The following is a 24,108-nucleotide window of genomic DNA, read 5'->3' as shown; positions in this document are numbered from 1 at the left end:
ATAAAGTCTGCTCAAATAAACTCTAAATTCTAATGCTGCTACAATTGTATTTTAACTATATGTGTAGTAATATATAGCTTCTATCACCATGCATACATATCAAAAACAAAACGTATCCATATGTATACATACTGATATAGGTACCTAAAACATACAAGCATATCATCTGATAGCAATGATAATCTAAAAAAAGAAATTGAAGGGGGATATAATTAGTTAGAGTTCCGTTTGCAAAAAACAATCTGACAGCAATGTTGGGGAAGTGAGCGACTGTTAGAAGGTTGGAGGAAATAAGTAACTAGAGGCTTGCAAAACTACATGTGAGTAGTTTTTAGACTAGGGACCTCAGTGGTATCAATGAGAATGTGAAAGAAATTTCATTGTTGAAAGATGGAGGACAGGGTGGACTGGTAGAAAGATGATTATCATACTTAAGTATATGAAGTGTCAGAAGGTTAACAATCAATGACTTTCTGAGGCAGAAAATATCCAAACTCTTACATCCTTTTCATGTTTTTGCTTCGTCTTACTGGGCGCCATGATGTCATATCATATTAACATTATTGGAACTTCTATGACAGGCATTTAAAGCCTCTGATTGATACAACACATTCCAACAACCTTGCAATATTACTGATTTTTACAAACCTTGGCAGCTTCATTTCTTCCTCAAAATATTAAGACAACTTTCTTTCTATTATGATACTTATTTCTTCTCTATGCCTACTTTAAATGTAGTTATTCTATTTAATCTTTTAATTTCATGAATTAGGGATGTTTTTCAAATTGTGTAAAGTCATATAAACTCAGCTGGGAAGAGCCTTAGAAGCCATCCTAGAAAGTTAGAGGTGGCTTGACTCTTCCTACTCATACAAGCATACACAGTTAAGAGCATGCTCTTACACTATGGCAGTTCCTTCACTGTTAACTCCTTCTATTTTTATTTTTCCCATTGCATTTCCATTTCCATTTATTTTGTTACTTGACCTGTGAGTAGACTTCCTGTGAGAAATAGAATTCACCCTTTCCTAAGATAGTGAAATGGAAGACCTTTGATAGTTAGCAGAATTATTGGGATTTACCTCTGCTGGCTCAAAAACAAATTTGCCTCCACTATGGGTTAAATGTGAGGGGCATCTCAGGTAATTCAGTGGTATTAGTATCAAAACCATCATACTCAAGTCCTTATATGATAAACTAGGCTATTTTAGCAATTAATGCATTTATAAACACACAGTGAATAACACATAAAACTGTTAAATACTTTTATTTACTTTCTGCAATCATTATTCTATTATGATATGAACACAATGAAAATTTCTTGATTGCTTTTGAATAACATATAAATATTTTAATTAGTTTATTAGGTACTAAAATGTTAGGTCATTAAAGTGCTAGGACAGTTATACTTGCAAAAATGTTTGAACACTGGAAACAACATAGGTACCTCTAACTTGCGTAATTTTGTGACTATTTTAGTAAATAGAAAAAGGATATTAGTATGAAACCTTAACATTTCTTTTTAACATTTTTATGAATGAAACTATGACTTGCTTATTTCTCAGACTGTAGATGATAGGATTTAACAAAGGAATGATGACAGTGTAGAATAGAGGCTCCACCATATTTTGACCATCTGCTTGCGGAGATGCAGGGCCCACATACATTAAGAGAAGGGGGCCATAGTATAAACAGACAGAGAAGAGATGGGCTCCACAGGTGGAAAAGGCTTTCCTTACACCCTTATCAGATTTCTTTTCTAAGACTGTGAAGAGAACAAATGTGTAAGATATAAGAATAGTCACAATGCTGAATACCTGAATTGAACCTGAGAAAATAAAAACCATTAGAAAATTAATAGAAGAATCAGTACAAGAAATCTTAGACAATGGGATAGTGTCACAGTAAATGTGATGTACTATGTTGGAGTTACAGAAGGTTAGTCTGAATAAAAATCCTTCATGGATTAAAGCATGAAGAATACCAGCTATATATGACAAGATTAATAGCCGGATGCACAGTCCATTGGTCATAATGGCTGGATAAAGTAAAGGTTTGCATATGGCTACATAGCGATCATATGCCATTGTTGCCAAGAGAAAACATTCTGTGGTTACGCCAATTGCAATGGAAAAAAATTGTATCTTGCATTCAGAGAGAGATATCATCTTACTCTTAGCTAAGAAGTTATTCAGCATCTTTGGGGTCACTGTGGATGATATCCAAGCATCCACAAAAGCTAAATTCCCAAGGAGTAAGTACATTGGGATATGAAGGTGAGGGTCTTTCCAGATGACAGCAATCAGACCAAGATTCCCCATGATGGTGATGAGATATATTACCAAGAATGCCAAGAACAGGGGTATTTTCCACTGTGGTTGATATAAAAATCCTGTGAGAACAAACTCTGTCAGCAATGTTGCATTTTCCTCTTCCATGTCCTCACTGCATGTCCTCTAAAATAAAATGCAACAAATGAAAGGGAAGATTTGCAATGACATTATGAGTTGAAATTGGGGAAGAGATGTTGAAATAAACCCTAAAATGATCAGAACCCTCTCAATTTTTTGATCAGTCCTACAACTGATGAATTGTGTATTTGATGCATTAAAGAAATGAAAATGATATATTTTGGTTTGAAACTGTGCAGTAATTAACTGATTTAGGTAAAAGTAGAGGCATTCTCTGTATACACTACATTTATATGGACACTATTGAGTGCAGTAGAAAAATTGTGTGTCTGGCCCATCATACAATGTCAACAGAAAAGATTTTGAAGGGTCTGAATTAAAAATAAATGAAATGAGTGCCATATGAAGAATCTTAAGCTTTATTCTTTATACGTTAAGCATGTACCAAAAATTTTAAGATGGGAAATTATATTCTAATATATTTTTAAATTTAGTTTTTGATAGTGTAGAAAATATGCTGCAAGAAGAGGAAACTGGACTCAGGGATATTAATTAGAAACTTCTTAGTAAGGTCCAGGCAATCCCAAATCACATTACACATAAAAATTATCTGACAGAGTGTTCATGAAAAATATAGGTTGTGAGCTTTCAATGTAGAAATTATTTCAGGAATGAGGTCTAGGGATCTGCATTTTGAAAATACCCTCCAGGTGATTCAAATGCATGTTAAATGTATAGTCCTTGTGAGATATAACATTGGAAGAGATGGTAAAACAAATAAATAGATTCTAAGGAATTCAGAATGTAGAGTCTCTAGTATTCTGTGACATATTTTGTAGGAAGTAAGTGGTCAGTAAAGGAGAGAGGAGTCCCTTGGTGACTGGCAAGATGGACATTAAACATTGAGAACTCAGGTGTGCTGACAAGTTTTTGGAGTGAGCATCATCTGGACAACTAGGTATTTTCCGATCATAATATGAGCCTATTAAATCTCAGTAGGAATGATTACTTGGATTCATTGTGGTAGTCAAAGGCATAGTTAAAAATGATCTATCCATTGGAGAGTAATGAAGAAACAAAAAAGATGGCAAGAAAATAAACTCGAGCAGGTTATATTAAAGAGCTAACAAAGTGGACATATGTCCTGTAAATGGCCAAGATGTTATCTTATTTTTTGCCATCCAAGTCTTGGTGGCTATCAGAGGTTACCTACTGCTCTAGAAGCCAAAAGAACTAGAAACTCATTTTCCCATTCTTCTTGCCTCTAGAGTGAGGAAACAATGATCTAGGATGGCCAGTGAAACACACTGATCCTACATTTGGAATATGGAGAGAGAGAGAGAGAGAGAAGTACAGGGACAAAAGATTTTGGTTTTGAAGGTAATCAAGGTGGACATACCAGGACTCTACTTAATGCAACCTTTATTCATATCAATACACTTACAGTGTGAGCTGTCAAATTATTGACAAACATGGGTTTAAGGAGTTCATATGTAAGTGACTGACCTTAAAAGGTTTAATTAGAGAATGTGGTTAGTTAAAAAGCATGGGTATTTATATCAAAATAATCAGCAATAATTCCAAGATAAGAATCATTATGATGTGAATGTGTAAACCAAGTTTTAGCTGTTCAATGCCCTAGTTCATACAAAGTCATTATAATATGATCAACAAAATAGTAAAATATTAAAAGAATAATTCAGTCTTACAACTATTTACCGTATCTATGTTATAGTCGTAAAACTGAAATAAAAAATAATCCAGTCAGAGTTATCCAAATTCCATCTTGCTATTTCGACAGCTTGTATACCCGATCTAAAATTTTAATGAATTAAATAGCATTTTCAACATTTCTATAAGGCATAATGAAAATTTAGAAGTTATTTCTTCCTTACCTATATTTTGAAGGAAATTGTGGATATCCTTTAAATGTGTTACGCCTTCTAAAACCGAAATACATACAGTAGCACAGCAATGTCAATAACACAGGTAGCCATTCATTACGTACTCATGCTTTTTGAAGGTTTCATTTTCCAAGCATAGAAAAATGTTGATTATTAAATTTGGTTTGAGCATATAAGTGACCCAGTTGTGCAACTGGGGACTTTTGCCAGAGGAGGAAGGAGTGAAAAACTGAAATTCTCATAAGAGTGTCAGAGGACTCCCTGTAGGAAAAATTGAAGCTGTTCTAATGGGCATTGTGTGTTTGCACATGTATAAGTCCAGGTTGTCCCCAAGGGCATTACAGACTTCTGGAATCACAAACATCAGTTCATTGTAGACACTTCTAGTTTTAACAAATGAAGTAACACTTTATATCACTATTTACCACCATGGATGACAATTTTGCATGTTTGTTCAAACTTTAGTTTATATGTGAAATATAGTGTTAGTGCTTTAATTAGTATATTCCTATTTGAGTTAATCAAAACATGATTTTAATAAGGCCAAAATTCCAGAACCTCTTTTGGAGCAACCTCAAATACAATTGTCCTTCCCATGCAAATTTCAGCTCAAATTTTAGACATATATGTAGTTTCCCCATTTTAAACTTAAACCTGATGGGAAATTTTACTAGGAAGAGGACAAGGGAGGAGAAAACGTAAAACAAAGCCAGGGACTACGGTGGAAGGTGTCCTAGGTCTGTGCTTCTCAAACTATAATGCCTATGACTTTCCTAGTGATGTTATCAAAATGCAGATTCTATTTCAGCAGTTCTGGTGTGGGTCTCTCAGGAGCCTTTATTTCTAACAAAGTGATGCCTGTGGACATTTGCATCCAACAGGTCTTCATCATGGGAAGACCTAGATTATCAGAGAGCCTTCATCATTGCAGAAACAATAAGTGGTAAATGTGGCTGGTATGAAAAGTGAGAAGCAGGGAAGGACCAGGTGTGTTCAAGGAGGCCAGCGTGGGGAGGCTCTCAAGGAGACTCAGAAGGTAATTCAAGGATATGTTCTTTACCCCAACTTACACAAAAACCAATGAAGTATTATTAAACAATTTTGAGAATGGTGATAGCATGTTCAGAATTTTCTTTAGAGCATTAAGAGAATAACATATTAGTGAGAGCTGGGATTCACTCCGGATGGTGGCAGAAATATTAAAGGGAAATATTATGGAAAGTTGTAGGGAATAGTCACAAAACTTTTGGAAGGCCGAAAGGTTACATAGCTTGTAATAATTGAACAGGCTGAAGGCAGCCGGTTCTTACCTTAGAGCATTAGGTCATAAGGTAAATACTAAGGACAACAGAGGCTTCCCCAGTTAAGTCTGTTGACCCTACCTCCATTAACTAACCTTTGAGTTAGATGGCCCTCTGCCGGGGAGGGAGGGTCGACCAGGGATATTGCCCCCAAATGGTATTTACTTTAGACCATGGTACCTGAGCTTTAATCATTGGTAGAACTACTCTCTTAACGATGTTAATTATCCTCCAGTGTGTTTACTCAAAGCTTCTGTTGTTAATTGTATACTAAATAAATGCCTGGAGTGTGAGCTGTTCAGGGCTGGCCCCAGTAAAAACCTCTCTTGGTGTGCTGGCGGTCGGACACTCAGCTGGACTGGCAAAGCAGAATATCTGTGTGTCAGTGTACATTTTAGGCATCTGTCATTTAGGTCAGGGTCTGTGGGCAGATCCCCGCAGCTAATGCTCTCTTGTGAGGAGCAATACCTCAATAAGCATCCATTCAGAAAATAAAATCTTATTTACTTACTTGTAATATTTATATTTCATATTTAAATAGTGACAGGTAACTTTCTTGACAGTAAAAGTATTCACTAAAGAAGTAAAATAACCTGCACTTGGATTATGGATGTTGATATGGTTTGGGTTTGTTTCTACACCCAAATTTCATGTTGAATTCCAATCCCCAATGTTGGAGAGGGGCCAGGTAAGTGGTGATTGGATCATAGGATCAGACTTCCACCTTGCTGTTCTCATGATAGTGAGTTCTCATGAGATCTGGTTGTTTAAAAATGTGTAGCACCTCCCGCCTTTTCTCTCTTCCTCCTTCTCTGGACATGTACAACATGCATGCTTCCCCTTTACCTTCCCCCATGATTGTAAGTTTCCTGAGGCCCCCCCAACCATGCTTCCTCTACAGCCTGTGCAACTGTGAGTCCATTAAACCTCTTTTCATTATAAATTACCCAGTCTCTGATAGTTCTTTATAGCAATGCAAAAACAGACTAACACAAAGGTAAATTATATGAAGAAGAGGCCCAAATGCTCATGGGCCCTACCCCTGCTACACTGCCTTATCTCTGCAAGCCTTCAGTGATAGCTTCATAAGGAGCTTCTTACAATCAATTGAGAGCAGAAGAGAAGACGTGGACCTGGATACCGATGATTGTACAACATATTCAGGCACTGCCCAAAGTAGGTGGCTGCAGTACTACAGCTCCTTTCTGGAACATTTATGAAGAACAGTGGTGAAGGGAAATCCTCCCAGTTAGAAAAATTGGAAATTACGTACTTGGTTTTTCAATTTACTTAAAGAAATGAATAAATGTGTGAATATATATGTATTTATGGGCTATGGCTAATGGTTAAGCTGGATGACCAGGGACTTGGAAGGAGCATAATTAGAATACTGGTGACAAGGAAATTTGAGGCAAGGTGCTTGGAGAGATGTCTCTAACCGGGTATAAATTATGTAGATATCTGCTATAGTTTGAATGTTTCCCCTCCAAAATTCAGGTGTTGAAACAATGGCCAGAGTGATAGTACTAAGAGGTGGGGCCTTTAGTAGGTGCTTAGGTCATAAGGGCTTCTTTCTTTGTTGATGGGCCTAAAGCCCTTATAAAAAAGGTTTCACACAGCCTTCAGTTTCCTTGCCCTTCTGCCTTTCACCACGTGAGAACACAGTGTTCCTCTCCTCCAGAAGAGCTTTCAAGGCATCATCTTAGAAGCAGGGAGGGGACCCCTACCAGACATCCAAACCTGCCAGCATCTGGATCTTGAAAATACCAGCTTCTAGAGTTGTAATACAATTTTCATTGTTTATAAACTACTCGGTCTCTGGCATTCTGTTATAGCAGCACAAATAGGCCAAGACAGAAATAGGTATCAAAAAGTGGAGTGTTCCTATAACAAATACCTAAAATGTGGAAATGTCTTTGGAAAAGGGTAATGAGTAGAGGCTGTAGCAGTTTTGAAAGTGAATGATGGAAAAAGCCTGTATTTTTCAGGAATGAAGCATTAAGGACAAGTCTGGTTAGAATTCACAAGAGAAGAGCAGTAGGGAAAGCCTCATTCTTCTTAGAGATTACTAGAGTGGTCATGAACAGAATGTGGGTAGAAATATCGATAATACAAAATTCTGATGATGTCTTAGATGGAAATGAGGACTATGTTATTGGAAATTAGAGGAAACACTCTCCTTGATATAAAGTGGCAAAGAACTTGGCCGAGTTGTGTCTGTGTCTTAGGACTTCATGGAAGGCAAATCTTAAGTGCAATGAATTATAATATTTGGCAGAAAAAATCTATAAGCAGCAAAGTGTTGAGGGTGCTGCATGGCTTCTCTTAATGGCTTATAGTAAAATGCAAGGAGAGAGGAGCTATTAAAAGATGGAATTTGTCATCAAAAGGGAAGGAGAATGTAAAGATTTGGAAAATTTTCAGCCTGGCCATGTAAAGAATAATGATGGATGTTCCAAAAAGAAAGCCAATGGTGTGACCAAGTGACCATTTGATCATGATATTAGTCTCTTTATAATAGAAGAAAGATAGCTGCTATTCATCAAGACAATGCAAGAATGACTCCAAAAGTTTTTCAGAGATCTTCAAGCCTGCCATGTGTATTACAGTCCCAGAGTGCCAGGACCTTGAAGGGAACTTGGGACTCACTGCCCAGGGCCACCTCAAGTCTGTGCTGTCTGCATTATGACAGAGAACTCCTTTGCCAGCTGAGTTGTGTCTCAGGTTGGGCCCACCTGCAGCTCAAGCTACTGCCCCAGACTGCAGAATTTGTAAGCCTTGGTGACATCCATGTGATGCTAATTTACAAGCATGCAGAACGGACACATGGATTTCTCCACTAGGTTTCAGAAGATGCCTCAGATAATCTCAACACCCAAGCAGATACCTGTCACAGGGTCAGAGCCACCACAGAGACTCCCAAGTGCGGCAATTTTCAGTAGATCTTTTGGAAACAGAGCTGCCAGAAGCCAGAAGCCAGGCCTGTACAGCCACTAGCTACAGTGGCATCCTGGGAGAACTACAGGCACTGGACTGCAATCCATAGGAGCTGCGGTGTAGGATGCACTCAACAAAGACAGAGAGGTGAGGAACCAGGAGCCTTATTGATGCAACCCCTAACACGGTGTATTTGGAAAGTGGGACATAACATCAAGGCTATCCTGAAGCCGTAAGATTTAATGTTGTTTGCATTGTTAGGTTTTGGATGTAACTGAGACCTGTTATTCCTTCTTTTCTACGTCTCCATTTTGGAATCAAAATATTTGTTCTCTGCCAGGCCCATCATGTATTTTGGAAGCATGTAACTTGTTTGATTTCACAGGTTTATAGCTACAGAGTAATTTACCTCAGAATGAAACGTTCTTTATGTGTTACTCATATCTGATTTAGATGGTATCTAGGTGAAACTTTAGCCTTTAGACTTTTGAGTTGATACTGAAATGAGTTAAAAGTTTGGGGCTGTTAGGATAGAATTTAATGTATTCTGTATATGACAAGGATATGAATTTTGGGAAGCCATGAGCAGAATGCTATTGTTTGTTTTCCCTCAGAAATTAACTTATTAAAACTTAACCAGTGTGATGGTACTCTTTACATGACCTCTTAAAGATGGTACATTTAGGAGGTAATTAGGTCATGAGGGCTTCTTCCATTTTGTGTGGTGTTAAGGACCTTATAAAAGAGGCTTCAGTTTGCTTTGCCATTCCACCTTTAACCATGTAACGATACAGTGTTTCTACCCTCAAGAGGATGCAGCAAGAAGGAGCCATTTTGGAAGCAGAGAACAGTCCTCACCAGAAAATCCAATCTGATGGCATCTTGATCTTTGACTTCCTACCCTCCATAACTCTGAAAAAGTACATTTTTGTTTCTTGTAAATTACTCTCTCTATGGTATTCTGCTATAGCAGCACAAATGGACTAAGACAGTACTTGTAGCTCATGTGGATGTTCACCAATGTATCCTCCTGATTATTAAAATCCTCAGCTGAGGAGAATTTTAATAATCAAGCAGATAGAATGACCGATCTATGGATACCAGTAGGCCTGAGGTGGCTGTGGTGATAGGGATAGAAGTTATGCCTAGGCTTAGCTACATGGATTTCCACTTACCAAAGCCAACCTGTCTAGGGCCACTGCGAGGTGCTCAATCAATCAGCAAAAGAAGCTAACATTGAGTCCCCAATCCATAATCATTAAACTAGATGTCAAGTTGATTACATTGGACTTCTTCTATCATGAAAGAAGCAGTGTTTTGTTCCTAGTGGAGTAGATACTTACTCTGGATACAGAAATGTCTTCCCTCTGCACAGTGCTTCGGTTGAAGTTACCATCCATGGACTTCCTTCTTGACTGTCATGGTATTCCACACAACATTCCTCCTGATTAAGGAACTCACTTCACAGCAAATGAACTGGAGCAATGGGACCAAGTTCATGGAATTCATTGGTCTTACTATATTACTGTGTTTCCCACCATCCTGAGACAGCCAGTATAATAGAATTGTGAAATGACTTTTTGAGAACTCATTTACAGCACCAATTAGGTGGTAATAATTTGCAGGGCTGGAGCAAGGTTCTCCAGAATGCCATATATTATCTGGATTCACATTCAATATATGTTGCTACTTCTCTTGTGAGCTGGATTCATGAGCCTAGAAATCAAAATGGTGGAAACAGGAGTGGACCCACTCACTAAATCTAATGACTCACTAGAAAAGTTTGCTTCTTGTTACTGCACTCTTCTTGCCTTGAAATCTTAGCTCCAAAAGAGACCGCTTATACTAGGAGATAAAACGGTGATTCCATTGAGCTAGAAGTTAAGACTGCCACCAGGTCACTCTGGTCTCTTTATTCCTCTGAATCAACAGGCAAATAAACAAATTGCTTCATCCCTGTGTAATAGAACATTGGCAATAATGAGGAGGATTCAGAAATAGATTCTGAAGAATTCACAATGCAACATCACTAGGACTTAGTTATATATTTGGTTGGAAAGCAGTATTCAGTGAAGGAAAAAGGAGTCACTTTGTGAATAGATAGTCATCCAAAACAGAGACTGAGGACTCAGATGCATTGACAAGCATGTGGTGTGAACATGCCTTGAACATGTAGGTGAGCTGTTTAGTATTAGTAATATAATTCTACTAGAGTAAGAGAAAAAATAATTTGTGGGTCATTGGAATAGTGGAGACTATAGTTATGCATGTTTTATCTGTTGCAGAGTACACAAAGAAACAGAAACATAGCAAAGAGAAAAAACACTTGATGGTATAATGATGTAATTATCTTTTGGTCTACATGCAGTAATTGGATTGCTGGGTCAAATGGTAGCTCTTTTTTACTTTCTTTGAGAAATCTGCAGACTGCTAATCACAATGGCTTAACTAATTAATACACATTCCCACCAACAATGTAAAAACACTCCTTTTTCTCCGCAGCCTCTCTGGCATCTGTTGGTTTTTTACTTTTAAAAAAGTCATTCTGACTAGTGTGAGATGGTATCTCATTTTGGTTTTGATTTGCATTTCTCTGATGACTAGTGATGATGAGCATTTTTTCATTATTTGCTGACCACTTGTAAGTCTCCATTTAAGAAATGTCTGTTCATGTCCCTTGCCCCATTAATAATGGGTTTATCTGTTTTTTTCTTGCTGATTTAAGTTCCTTCTAGATAGATTACGAATATTAGCACATTGTTAGATGCATAGTTTGTGAATAATTTCTCCCATTCTGTTGGTTGGTTGTAGACTCTATTGATAGTTCCTTTCATTGCACAGAAGCTCTTTCATTTAACTGGGACCCATTTGTCAGTTTTTGTTTTCATTGCAGTTACTTTTGGGACATAGCCAAAAATTCTTTACAAAAGCCAATGTCAAGAAGGGCATTTCCTAGGTTATCTTGTAGAATTTTTACAATTTGAGGTCTTGTATTTAAACACCAATTTATCTCAAACTAACTTTTTTAGATGGTGAAAGTTAAGGGTCCACTTTTTTACTTTGGCATATGGCTAGACAGTTGTCCCAGGACCATTTATTGAATATGGGATCCATTCTCTACTGCTTGTTTTTGTCATCCTTGTTGAAGATCAGATGGTTTTAAGTGTATGGATTAATTTCTGAGTTTTCTGCTCTTTTCCATTGGCCTATGTCCCTGTTTTCATACCAGTACCATGGTTTTTTTGTTTATAAAGACACATGCACTCGTATGTTCACTGCCATGCTATTCAAAATAGCAAGACATGGAAATGAATCTTGCTGTTCATCAGCGGTTCATCAGTGGTTGATAGGATTAAAAAAAGTGGTACATACACAGCATAAAATACTAAAACTTTCAAAGGACATGAAAATAAAATCATGTCCTTTGCAGCAGTATGGATGCAGCTGGAGCCCATAATCCTAAGCGAACTAATGCAGGAACAGAAAACCAAATGCCATTTGTTCTCACTTATAAGCCAGAGATAAACATTGAACACAAATGGAAATGAACATGGGAAAAATAGACACTGCGGACTACTGGAGTGGTGAGAGCATAGGGAGTAATGGGTACTATGGTCACAACCTGCATGCAATATACACATGTAACAAACCTGCATATGTAACTTTCATATCTGAAAAAAAGATAACTTTTTCCTAAAAAACGAAACAAAACACTTGAGATACTTATGTTAAAAGGTTATGAAAGGGATGCATGTCATCCATGAGATGGCTAAAACCTGAAACACTTTTCTACTACATGACTCTTTGTGGCAGACAAAGGATTTCACCTAGATTTTCCTACCAAACCCATCCTAGATCTGGAGATAGATGGAGACAAATGCAAAGGAATAAAAAAAAAACAAAAAACAAAAACAAACAAAAAAAAACTTAGTGCAAAGGCAGTTGAGGCAAAAATATCAAGATCCCATCACATGCATCCTGCATCTAGAACAATGCCTTTGAAAATGTAAGCTGTGTCATTGGAAGCACAGAAGCAGAAACAACCGCCCTCATGAAGCTGCTATTGGAATAAGATTTTGGCTGCTGACTGGCTGTTTTGCTTCCTCCTGTTGCTGCCATACTGTCCAGCTGACTTCTCCAACTTCACTGTGATTTCAGTGGTAAATATCAATTCAATAACTTACTTCCTGTTGCAACCCAAAGCCCTGGGATTTTCAAAAGAGAGACCAGGGAGACAAGAGAAAAGGATACTGAGCAGAGTGTTGAAGGGAAGAAGTCAGAGGGAACTAAAAAGCTGAGTGTTGTGGACATAGAGAGGGAAAACATGAAGTGTGACGAAGTGATATATAGGGGAAAATGACAAAATAAATGCTCTAGTAGGACAAGGAGTGAAGGGAAATCACTGTGTATAGAAATTAAGGATTTTTGTTTGTTTGTTTTTTGCCTGGCGCAATGGCTCACACCTGTAATCCCAGCACTCTGGGAGGCCAAGGTGGGCAGATCACCTGAGATCAGGAGTTCAAGACCAGCCTGACCAACACGGTTAAACCCAATCTCTACTAAAAATATAAAAAAAATAAAAGTTAGCCAGGCATGGTGGAGGGTGCCTGTGATCCCAGCTACTCAGGAGGCTGGGGCAGGAGAATCTCTTGAACCCGGAAGACAGAGATTGCGGTGAGTTGAGATTGTGCCACTGCGCTCCAGCCTGGGAGACAGAGCAAGACTTCATCTCAAAAAAAAGAAAAAAGGAAATAAATTAAGTGATTTTTAGTGGCGTTAGTGAGAACCATTTCCCATACGTAATAGAATAATGGTCTGCAAATAAGTGAATGGGAGACAAGCAGCGCAACGGTGAAGGGATGAGTTAGAGTACTCTACGACATGTGGAGAACAGTTGGCATTTGTCTACTGCTCATAGAATAATTTAATATTTTTTCCTTCTGTGGAATATTTAAGTACAGTTCTCAAAAGTAAAGATAGACAATTGAGAGAAGAGGAGAAGATGACGTCGAGCGGAGAAAAGGAATAAGGGAAATTTGTGTGGGTTGGTGAAGTACAACAAGAATGAGGAAGAAAAATAGACAGAGAATAATGAAGTCATAGGTGGGTAAGTGTAAAAAAAACAAGCCACAAAAAGAGAGAGAGGAAGTGTCAGAGATATACTAAGGCAAAATAGAGGGAAGGGCTCAGGAGCTTGGGTTGAATCTGTGCATTAACTCTGCTGTTCGTGAAGACTACAGAGAGCCCCGGGGGTCTTTTCATTTTCCTTTTTAAAAAAAAATCAAAGTTTATTTTGCTATGCAATTTGTGTATTATAAAACAACTTTGACTATAATTTTTTCCCATCAATTTTCCACTGTTCATGAATATATCGGCATTGTCTGAAAGTTTACTCCATATTTAAATGTTGCTTTATCTTTACTGTTACAGTGATTAAAACTAAATTTCTCAAGAAATGTTGCTGATTTTGGAGCACTTTCTTCTCTGTCAGTTTTTTTTCTTTGATTTAGCAGAATCAAGTAAGACAAAGACTGGATCCTAATACAAACATTGTAATAAACAAATGACAGTAATTCCACTTGTAAATTTTTATAAGGCATTGGTTTCCTTTCATGCAATCCCAAATTACAAAATAGTGACAAATTGTAAAATTCAATTTGTTTTGGGGTACTTTTAAAATCATAAATGCTAACAAGGTTAGGGAAGTACATTTTCTGCATATTTTCTGAGGTATATGCATAGATACACATACACTATAACTATTACTAGTATTACCATGTAGATCTAAAATGCTCAATATGAAAAATGTATATTTCTACATATTTAATTCTTTATATATTTATGCACCATGTATAAGAAGTAATCAATGAAATTATTGAAAGAAGTGGTGAAGGTATAGAGGAGATAATATTTAATAGACAGATCCTAAAAGTTTTCATTGGAGAGTGTGATTACAGAGAATGAAACTACATCACAACCATCAGAAAAGTATCCTATATAACAATCACAATGAATTGAAGATTTAAACCCAGCTTTAAAACATTTAAGCTTCTAATTAGCCAGAACTTATAACATCATTATAGTCAGGTTAACAAGATAATGAATTATCATTAAAAACTTATTTTATAGGTATTTTGCTTGTCAAGATTTTAACCATAATAATGAGATACAAAGATTCTTCACTCTTCTTGGTTCCATTTGTTCCCAGCAATCTTAGCATGCTGTGATCCAAATACAAACATTATATATTAAATAGCATTTTAAAATTTCTTTAAAAATAATAGTGGATATGATAAAATAATTTCTCTTTTACTAATATCATAAGAAATTATGGAGATCCTTTAAAAGTATTAGGCTTTCTAAAGCAGAGAAAAATACATAATAGAGCATATCTGATAATAACACAGGCAGCAATTCTTTGTGTACTGATGCATTTTGGAGGCTTCATTTCCAGTCTTAGAAAAATGTTTGTAAAAATTTGCTTTCAACAAAAGTGCTGACCAATTGTATATCTCCGTTTTGACCAGGAGAGAAAAAGTCAGAGAACTGAAATTCCCCTGAGAGCATCTTAGGCTTTCCTGTAGGACAAAGTGAAGATCTTCAACTGGGCATTGTGGATTTAGATGTGTATAAGAAATACAGATTATCCTGCAGGGTATTGCAGAGTTTAGAAACATAGATATTAAGTCACTGTACCCAGTTTGGGTTTTAACAATTGAAATTACACTTTATGCCACTATTATCCACAACACATAACACTTCTGAGATTTTACGCACACTTCAGTTTGTACATAAAATAGGATGCTTTGAATGCTGTGATTAATATGGTCTCATCAGAGCTGGTCAAAATATGATTTTAATAAGGCCAAAGATCTAGATTCCCTTCAGAAGGCAACCCCAAGTAAACTTGTAAAATTGTCCTCCTCCTTCAAACTGCAGCTGAAACTCCAGACATATATCTAACTTCCAGGTGAGCTGAAATCTGTTGAGAAATGTTAACAGGCAAACATCAGGGGGAGGAAAAAATAAAAACAAAGACAATCTTGCAATGCCTTGCCACCTAGTTGGTGCTGTCACTATAACTTCATAATGGCATTCTATCATTCTATCGGATTAGTTTATATATAATTTCCAGAAAGTCTAGGTGTAGATCATTGACTGACTTAACTCCAACTGCTCCCTCTCTGTACGGAACCACCTAATGAGATCTTTTTGCCTGACACCTAGATAGAGCCCATTACCAAGACAGAGGAATTACAATAGAGAGTTTAATCCATATAGAATTGGCTAAATGGGAGATTCAAGTTTTATTATTACTCAGATCACCCTTTCCAAAAATCCAGAGGGTAGGGTTTTCTAAACACGGTTTGTTGGGCAGCGGTCTAAGGAATGAGGAAAGCTGATTGGTTGTGTTGGGGATAAAATCATAGGGGTTAAAACTGTCTTCTTGTGGATCCTGCAGCAGGGGGGTGGTCACAAAACTAGAGGAGTCCTTTTACCATTCTGAATGTTGCCAGCTGATTTATCAGAATTCAGGATCTACAAAATACCTTGAACACCAATCTTAGATTTCACAATAGGAATATTATCTGTGGGAGCAGTTAGGAAGGTTAGAATTCCATGGCCTCCAGTTGCATGATGATCAGGAGCCATAATTTCTAATCTTGTGATAATCTGTGAGTTTTACAAAGGTGGTCAGATCCCCAAGCTAGGAGGAAGTTTGCTTTGAGGAGAGACTGTTACCATCTTTGTTTCAAAATCAAACTATAAATTCCTCCCAGAGGTAGTTGGACCTACACTCAGGAATGAAGAAGGGCAGCTTGGAGATTAGAAGCACTGCCTGATTTTCTTATTTCAGATTCACTGTCATAATATTCCTATGTGAGATTTTTCTGTCATCATTTTTGCAAAGGTGGTTTCAACTATATTTCATTCTATCATACTCTATCTTGTCACTCTGCATCTACTAAGCCTTTTGCTCAGTTACATTTTCACCCATTAAAATAAAGGAAACTAGATAAATGCCTTATAAAGTCACGTCCTCAGATGAACCAGGCCTGCCTTCTTTAACCACCTTTACACCTTGGTCAAAATCTGGGCTGAGAGCAATAGGGAAAAATATCCTTGTCCCAAACAAAAGTGCCAGACATTTTCTGTGGAATTTAGAATTCTTCCAGGATTATATAATCCAGGACTCCCTGATCTTTATCAATTTAGTAACATGATACTTTAACCTGGTTAATCCTATAGCTGAAGCCAAACGTGAGGTACCTAAGGTAGACAGGAAAGATCCAACCCCTCAATCTTCCAGAAAAGGAACAAAAAGGGTTGGGAAAATAACAAATAATCCTCTAGAATCCATTCACAAAGTATTTCCTCAAAAATCCACTGGTCTGACATGTAATCTTATAAACAAAACAGGAATTAATCTCTGACTATAAGGCAAAATTAAAAGTATGATTTGTAAAACATTCTGGTCAATTCATGTTGAGTTCAGGCATAGAAAATACTTGTCCTATTCATCAGTGGGATCCACCTTCAACTCATTAACCTAGTTACAAAACAAAAGCTACACTGGGAAGCTGATGATCTGTCAAACATTTTCAAATATTTGAAAATATATTTCAGTAGAAAATTATAGTGCATTCATTATTAAATTCAAGTTCTGTCTGTTATCTTTGAGTTTTCTTATCTACCTATACATTGCCCTTTTCCTGAAGCCCTGCAAGCTAGGTCTGGACAACTTGATATAAACTTCAGAGGACAATCTTCATACATGCAACTGAGCTGGCTGCTAAAAAGTTCACCAAAACATCCAATAACATAATCAGAGACATTCAGACTGCAAAACAGAAAAATCAACAGATTGCAACTGCCATTTTGTCCCATCATCAAAAGATGCTTTGAGCTTAAAATCTAAAAATCTTCTCAACTAAATGCCCTCTGGGCTTAGATACTAAGTTTATAGATTGCTATAACCACTAACTTTCTTTTCTTTTTCTGAGACAGTGTCTCACTCTGTTCCCTAGGCTGGTGTACAGTGGTGCCTTCTCGGCTCACTGCAACCTCCCACTCCTGGGTTTAAGTGATTCTCCTGCCACAGCCTCATAAGTAGCTGGGATCACAGGCACCTGCCACCACGCCCGGCTAATTTTTTGCATTTTTCATAAAGATGGGGTTTCACCATGTTGGCTAGGCTTGTCTGGAACTCCTGACCTCCAGCGATCCGCCATCCTCGGCCTCCCAAAGTGCTGGGATTAGAGGCGTGAGCCACTGTGCCTAGCCTATAACCATTAACTTTTATTTGTTTTATTTCTGTTGATTTTGTTCATGGGTGCTTTGACTATGGAGTACTCCCCAGTTCCTTGGTATTTTCCTCAAGGGGTCATCATTGTAATCTTGCTGGTATGCTGTATTTTCTCAAGAGTCTGAAATGCAAGTTCATAGCCATGACGGTTGCCAGATTTTCTCTATATGATTAACATGGCAAAAACAAAGTGTCCAATAAAAGAAACACTGCTTTAAGAGAATAGAAATTGTAACTTATGAGTTCCATGCTGAGACAAAGACAAGCTCTGGTGGTGAGAAAGTGCTCCATGTGCCTGAGTGTTGGTCAGTATCCTATAATTGAGAAGTGAAACAAAAGGGAGAAAATAGTTAAAATAATTAAATTGAAGTACATTGGGCTGAGGTGGCTCCAGCAAAATGGGTTTCTACCTAAGCACACAGAAACCCCAACTCATAGTAAATGGTAAAGAAAATGTTAACTTTTTTCTTCTTTATACTTTAAGTTCTGGGATACATGTGCAGGTTGTTACATAGGTACACATGTGCCATGGCGTTTTGCTACACCCATCAACCCGTCACCTAGGTTTCAAGTCCCACATGCATTAGTTATTTGTCCTAATGCTCTCCCTACCTTTCCCCTCCACCCCCTGACAGGCTCCAGTTTGTGATGTTCCCCTCCCTGTGTCCATGTGTTCCCATTGTTCAACCCACACTTATGAGTGAGAACTTGCAGTGTTTTGTTTTCTGTTCCTGTGTTAGTTTGCTGAGAATAATGGTTTCCAGCTTCATCCATGTCCCTGCAAAGGACATGAACTCATTCTTTTTTATGGCTGCATAGTATTCCATGGTGTATATTTGCCACATTTTCTTTATCCAGTCTATACTTGATGGGCCTTTGGGTTGGTTCCAAGTGTTTGCTATTGTGAATAGTGCTCCAGTAAACATACATGTGCATGTGTCTTTATATTAGAAGGATTTATAAGGCTTTGGGTATATACTCAGTAATGGGATTGCTGAGTCAAATAGTATTTCTGGCTCCGGATTCATAAGGAATCACCGCACTGTCTTCCACAAAGGTTGAACTAATTACACTCCCACCAACAGGATAAATGAGTTCTTATTTCTCCACATCCTCTCCAGCATCTAACATTTCCTGACTTTCTAATGATTGCCATTCTAACTGGCGTGAGATGGTATCTCACTGTGGTTTTGATTTGCATTTCTGTAATGACCAGTGATGACAAGGTTTTCACATGCTTGCTGGTTGCATAAATGTCTTCTTTTGAGAACTGTCTGTTCATATTCTTCACCCATATTTTGATAGGGTTGTTTGTTTTTCTCTTGTAAATTTGTTTAAGCTCCTTGTAGATTCTGGATATTAGCCCTTTGTCATATGGACAGATTGCAAAAATTTTCTCCCATTCTGCAGTTTGCCTGTTCACTCTGATGATAGGTTCTTAACAAAAGTTTACTTTAACCAATCAGAAACCATCAACTCACCTCTAAGTAGGAACTTTCTACTGGAATAATCCAAATAACGCTACTGCTCCACTTTAGCCAAAAAAGTTTCTTTTTAACGTACTTCCGCATTAAATCAACAAAAGCCTTTCTCTCCTCTCATGTATACATAAGTGTATGTATACATAGATATTGACACCTAAAACACATGTACGTATAATCAGGTAGCAATGATGATCCAACAAAAGAAAATTGAAAGAGTTGAAAAAACAATCTGACATCAAAATGGGGGAATGAATGAGTGCTAGAAGGGTGGAGGAAATAACTAGAGGTTTGCAAAACGATATGTGAGTAATGCTTAGGATAAGGGTCTCGGTATCAGTGACAAAGTGAAAGGAATTTCAGTGTCGAAAGATGAAGGGCAGAGTGGAATGGCAGATGGATGACTCACATACTTCAAGAATATGAAGTGAGAAGAAGACTAATAAGGACTTTTTGAAGTAGAAAATATCCGAACTCTTCCTCATTTTCATGTTTTTCTCTCCAATCACTGGGCACTATGATGTCATATCATCTTAAGATAATTTGAACTTTGATGATATGCATTTAAAGCCCCTGATTGTCAATAACGCATTCCAATAACCTTGTAACATCACTGGTTTTTAAAATCTTAGTAGTTTCATCTTTTTTTCTGGGAAGATTAAGACCATTTTCTTCCCACTATGCCATTTATCTTTTCTTTTCTATCCCCACTTTAAACTAAGTTCTATTTTTTCATTTAATTTTCTGATTTAGGGAAGCTTTTCAGATTCTCTGAAAACACAATCACAGCTGGAAAGTGCCTTAGAAGCCATCTTAGGAAGTTAGAGGCTGCATGGTTCTTACTCATACAAGCACAGAGAGTTAACAGCATCCTCTTGCCCTCTTGCACATTGGCAGTGCCTTCACTGTTAAACACTTCTCATTTTGTCCTAATTGCATTTCCATTTCTGCTTCTTTATTTGATATATGAGTTGACTTCCTACAAGAAGTGAAATTCACTCTTTTACAATTAAGTGGAATGAAAGACCTCTTGAAAGCTAGCAAAATTCTTGGGATCTACCTGTCTTCCTCTAAACACACATCAACATTCACTATGAAGATAAATGTGATAGACGTCTCGGGTCATACAGTTGTGTTAGTATCAAAAACATCATACTTAAGTGCTTATCAGATAAACTAGACTATTTTGCATTTAATGCATTTATAAGACACAGTGATTAACATACCATACTGTACAATATTTTTATTTGCTTCTGCTATCATTATTCTATTATGAAGACTTGATTAAAATTTCTCAAATCCTTTTGAATAACATAGGAATATTTTAATTAGTTAAATAGGTGCTTATATCATAGGTCATTAAAGCGCTAGGACAGTTATAATTGCAAAATCTTTTAATGCTGGCAAAAACATAGGTACCTCTAATTTGCACAATTTTGTGACATTTTAGTAAATAGAAAAGAGATATTAGTAATGATCTAAACATCATTTCTTTTGAACATTTTTGTGAATGAAGCTATTACTTGCTTGTTTCTCAGGCTGTAGATCATGGGATTTAATAAAGGAACTATGACAGTGTAAAATAGAGACTCCATCATATCTTGGTCATCAGCCTGTGGGGATGCAGAGCCCATATACATGAAGGCGAGGGGCCCATAGTATAAAGATACAGATAAGAGATGAGCTCCACAGGTGGAGAAGGCTTTTCTCATACCTTTGACAGACTTCTTTTTCAAGATTGTATAGAGGACAAATATGTAAGATATAAGAACAGTCCCTATGGTAAAAACTTGAATTGAACCTGCAAAAATAAAAACCATTAGAAAGTTAATAGAGGAATCAGTATAAGAAATCTTTAACAATGGGATAATGTCACAGTAAAAGTGTTGTATTATGTTGGAGTTACAGAAGGTTAGTCTGAATAAAAATCCTTCATGGATTAAAGCATGAAGAAGACCACCTACATATGACAAGATTAATAGCCGGATGCACAGTCCATTGGTCATAATGGCTGGATAAAGTAAGGGTTTGCATATGGCTACATAGCGATCATATGCCATTGTTGCCAAGAGAAAACATTCCGTGGTTACACTGATTGCAAACGAAAACAACTGTATCTTGCATTCAGAGAGAGATATCATCTTACTCTTAGCTAAGAAGTTGATCAGCATCTTCAGAGTCACTGAGGATGATAACAAAGCATCCACAAAAGCTAAATTCCCAAGGAGTAAGTACATTGGGATATGAAGATGAGGGTCTTTCCAGATGACAGCAATCAGACCAAGATTCCCCATGATGGTGATGAGATATATTACCAAGAATGCCAGGAACAGGGGTATTTTCCACTGTGGTTGATATAAAAATCCTGTGAGAACAAACTCTGTCAGCAATGTTGCATTTTCCTCTTCCATGTCCTCACTGCATGTCCTCTAAAATAAAATGCAACAAATGAAAGGGAACATCTGCAATGACATTATGAGTTGAAATTGGGAAAGAGGTGTTGATATAAAGTGTGCAATTATCAGAGACTCAATTTTTTGATCATTATTATAAATAAGAAATCCTATAAGGGGTTAAAGAAATGAAAAAAATGTCATATTTTAGTTTGAAAATTTGGTAGTAATATGCATACTCTGGATTTACTAAATTTATGGGCACAGTCTTGAATGTGGTAGAACAATCCTGTGTCTGGTACATGAATGGAGGTCCTGGGGAATAGGTTTTTGAAATGTCTGGATAAGTGAATATCCAGATGAAATAAATGCCACGTGAAGAATCTTAAACTTTATATTTCGTAATATAAGAATGCACCAAATACTTTCAGATGGGAAATGCCATCATAACATTTTTTAAAATTTTTGATAGTGTAGAAAATATGCTGCGGGATGGGGAAATTGGACTAAGGAGTACTAATTAGAAACTTGTTACTAAGGTTCCAGCAATCCCAAACCAGATCACACATAAAAATTATCTGGGAGGGTGTTTTATGAAAAATATAGATTGTGAGATTTTAATGTAGAAATTGATTATTTCAGAAATGAGTTCTAGAAATCTGTATTTAAAAATACCCTCAAGATGATTCAAATGAATGCTAGATGTCTAGTCCATGTGTGATATTACATTGGAAGAGATGGTAAGACAAAGAAATAGATTCCAAGGAATCCAGAATGTAGATTCTCTAGTATTCTGTGACATATTTGGTGGGGAAGAAGTGGTAATAAAGGAGATAAGAGTCACTTGGTGACTGGGTAATTGGTCATTAACTATTGAAGATGGGAACTCAGATGTGCTGGCAAGTTCTTGGAGTGAGCATCATGTGGTCAACTAGGTGAGATCCAATCAGCAATATGAGCCTGTTAGAGCTTAATAGAAATAATTACTTGGAATTATTGTGATAGTCAAAGGCACAGTTAAAAATGATCCATTGGAGAGTAACAAAGAAACAAAAAGAGTGACAAGAAAGTCAACTGGAGCAAGTTATATTGAAGAAGTAACAAAGTGGACATATGTCTGGTAAATAGCCAAGATGTGATCTTTTTTGCCATCCAAGACTTGGCAGCTGTTGGAGGTTATCTACTGCTTTAGAAGCCAAAAGAACTAGAAACTCATTTTCCCATTCTTCTTACTTGTAGAGTGAAGGGACATGATCTAGGATGGCAAATGAAACACACTGATCCTACATTTGGAATATGGAGACACAGAAAGGTTTTGGTTTCAAAGGTAGCCAAGGCAGAATTACCAGGACCCTACTTAAAGGTACCTTTATTTACATCAATAACATTTACAGTGTGAGCTGTCAAATTATTGTCAAATGTGGGTGTAAGGATACAGGAGTTTATCTGTAGGTGACTCATCTTAAAAGTTTTAATCAGAGAGTGTAGTTAATTAAAAGGAATGGGTACTTATATCAGAATAATTCCAAGAAATTCTAAGAATCATTATGATCTGAACCTTTAAACCAAGTTTTAATTGTTTAATGATCTAGATCATATGAAGTTATTATAACAAGATTAACAAGATAATACAATATCATTAAAGGAACAATTCAGTCTTATAACTATTTACCCTATCCATAGTATAGTCATAAAACTGAAATCTAAAGACAGTACAGTAATAGTTACCCAACTTTCTTCTGGCTATTTTGACAGCTTGTATACCTGATCAAAAATTTCAATCAATTAAATAGCATTTCAACATTTCTATAAAGCATAATGAAAATTACAAAAATTATTTCTTCCTTACCCATATTTTTGAAAGAAATTGTGGATATCCTTTAAACGTGTTACACTTTCTAAAACAGAAAAAAAACACAGTAACACTGTGATGTTAATAGCACTTGTATCAATTCACTGCATGTTCTTTCTTTTTGGATGCTTCATTTCTGAATCTTAGAAAACCATTGGTTATAAAAATTTGGCTTGAGCACATAAGTGATCCAGTTGTGCAACTGGGTACCTTTGCCAGAAGATGAAGGACTGAAAAACTGAAGTTCTCATGAGATTGCCAGTAGACTCCCTGTAGAACAAATTGAAGCCATTCAAGTGGGCATTGTGAATTCAGACACATATGAGAATCCAGGTTGTCCCAAAGGTCATTACAGACTTCTGGAATCATAAACATCATTTCATTGTAGACACTTCTAGTTTGAACACTTGAAATAACACTTTATGCCACTATTTACCACCACAAGTGACACTTCTGGCATATTTTTTCAAACTTTAGTATATATGTGAAATTTACTCTTAGGGCTTTGATTAGTATAGTCTT

The 24,108-nt window shown here is 36.9% G+C and overlaps 2 protein-coding genes and 1 long non-coding RNA gene across 3 annotated transcripts; 1 reads left to right on the top strand and 2 right to left on the bottom strand.

Annotated features, from left to right (window-relative positions):
- Nucleotides 1-1,363: 1,363 nt before the first annotated feature.
- On the bottom strand, nt 1,364-4,442 carry OR5H15 (olfactory receptor family 5 subfamily H member 15). Its single transcript, NM_001005515.2, has 2 exons — nt 4,307-4,442; nt 1,364-2,456 (listed from the first exon to the last, which is right to left on the bottom strand). Exon 2 carries the CDS (start codon nt 2,436-2,438, stop codon nt 1,497-1,499), a length of 942 nt encoding a protein of 313 aa, NP_001005515.1. The 5' UTR covers nt 2,439-2,456; nt 4,307-4,442; the 3' UTR covers nt 1,364-1,496.
- On the top strand, nt 3,288-23,234 carry LOC105373996 (uncharacterized). Its single transcript, XR_924253.2, has 3 exons — nt 3,288-3,369; nt 5,197-5,351; nt 22,974-23,234. It is a non-coding gene; the product is annotated as an uncharacterized LOC105373996 (long non-coding RNA).
- OR5H14 (olfactory receptor family 5 subfamily H member 14) lies at nt 14,524-23,659 on the bottom strand. The gene is made up of 2 exons (NM_001005514.2): nt 23,584-23,659; nt 14,524-21,770 (listed from the first exon to the last, which is right to left on the bottom strand). The coding sequence occupies exon 2, from the start codon at nt 21,750-21,752 to the stop codon at nt 20,820-20,822; it is 933 nt and encodes a 310-aa protein (NP_001005514.1). The 5' UTR covers nt 21,753-21,770; nt 23,584-23,659; the 3' UTR covers nt 14,524-20,819.
- Nucleotides 23,660-24,108: the final 449 nt, after the last annotated feature.

The sequence above is a fragment of the Homo sapiens genome, chromosome 3 (assembly GCF_000001405.40).
Source record: "Homo sapiens chromosome 3, GRCh38.p14 Primary Assembly".
Taxonomy (NCBI): domain Eukaryota; kingdom Metazoa; phylum Chordata; class Mammalia; order Primates; family Hominidae; genus Homo; species Homo sapiens.
This window is presented reverse-complemented; position numbering and strand designations above follow the sequence as displayed.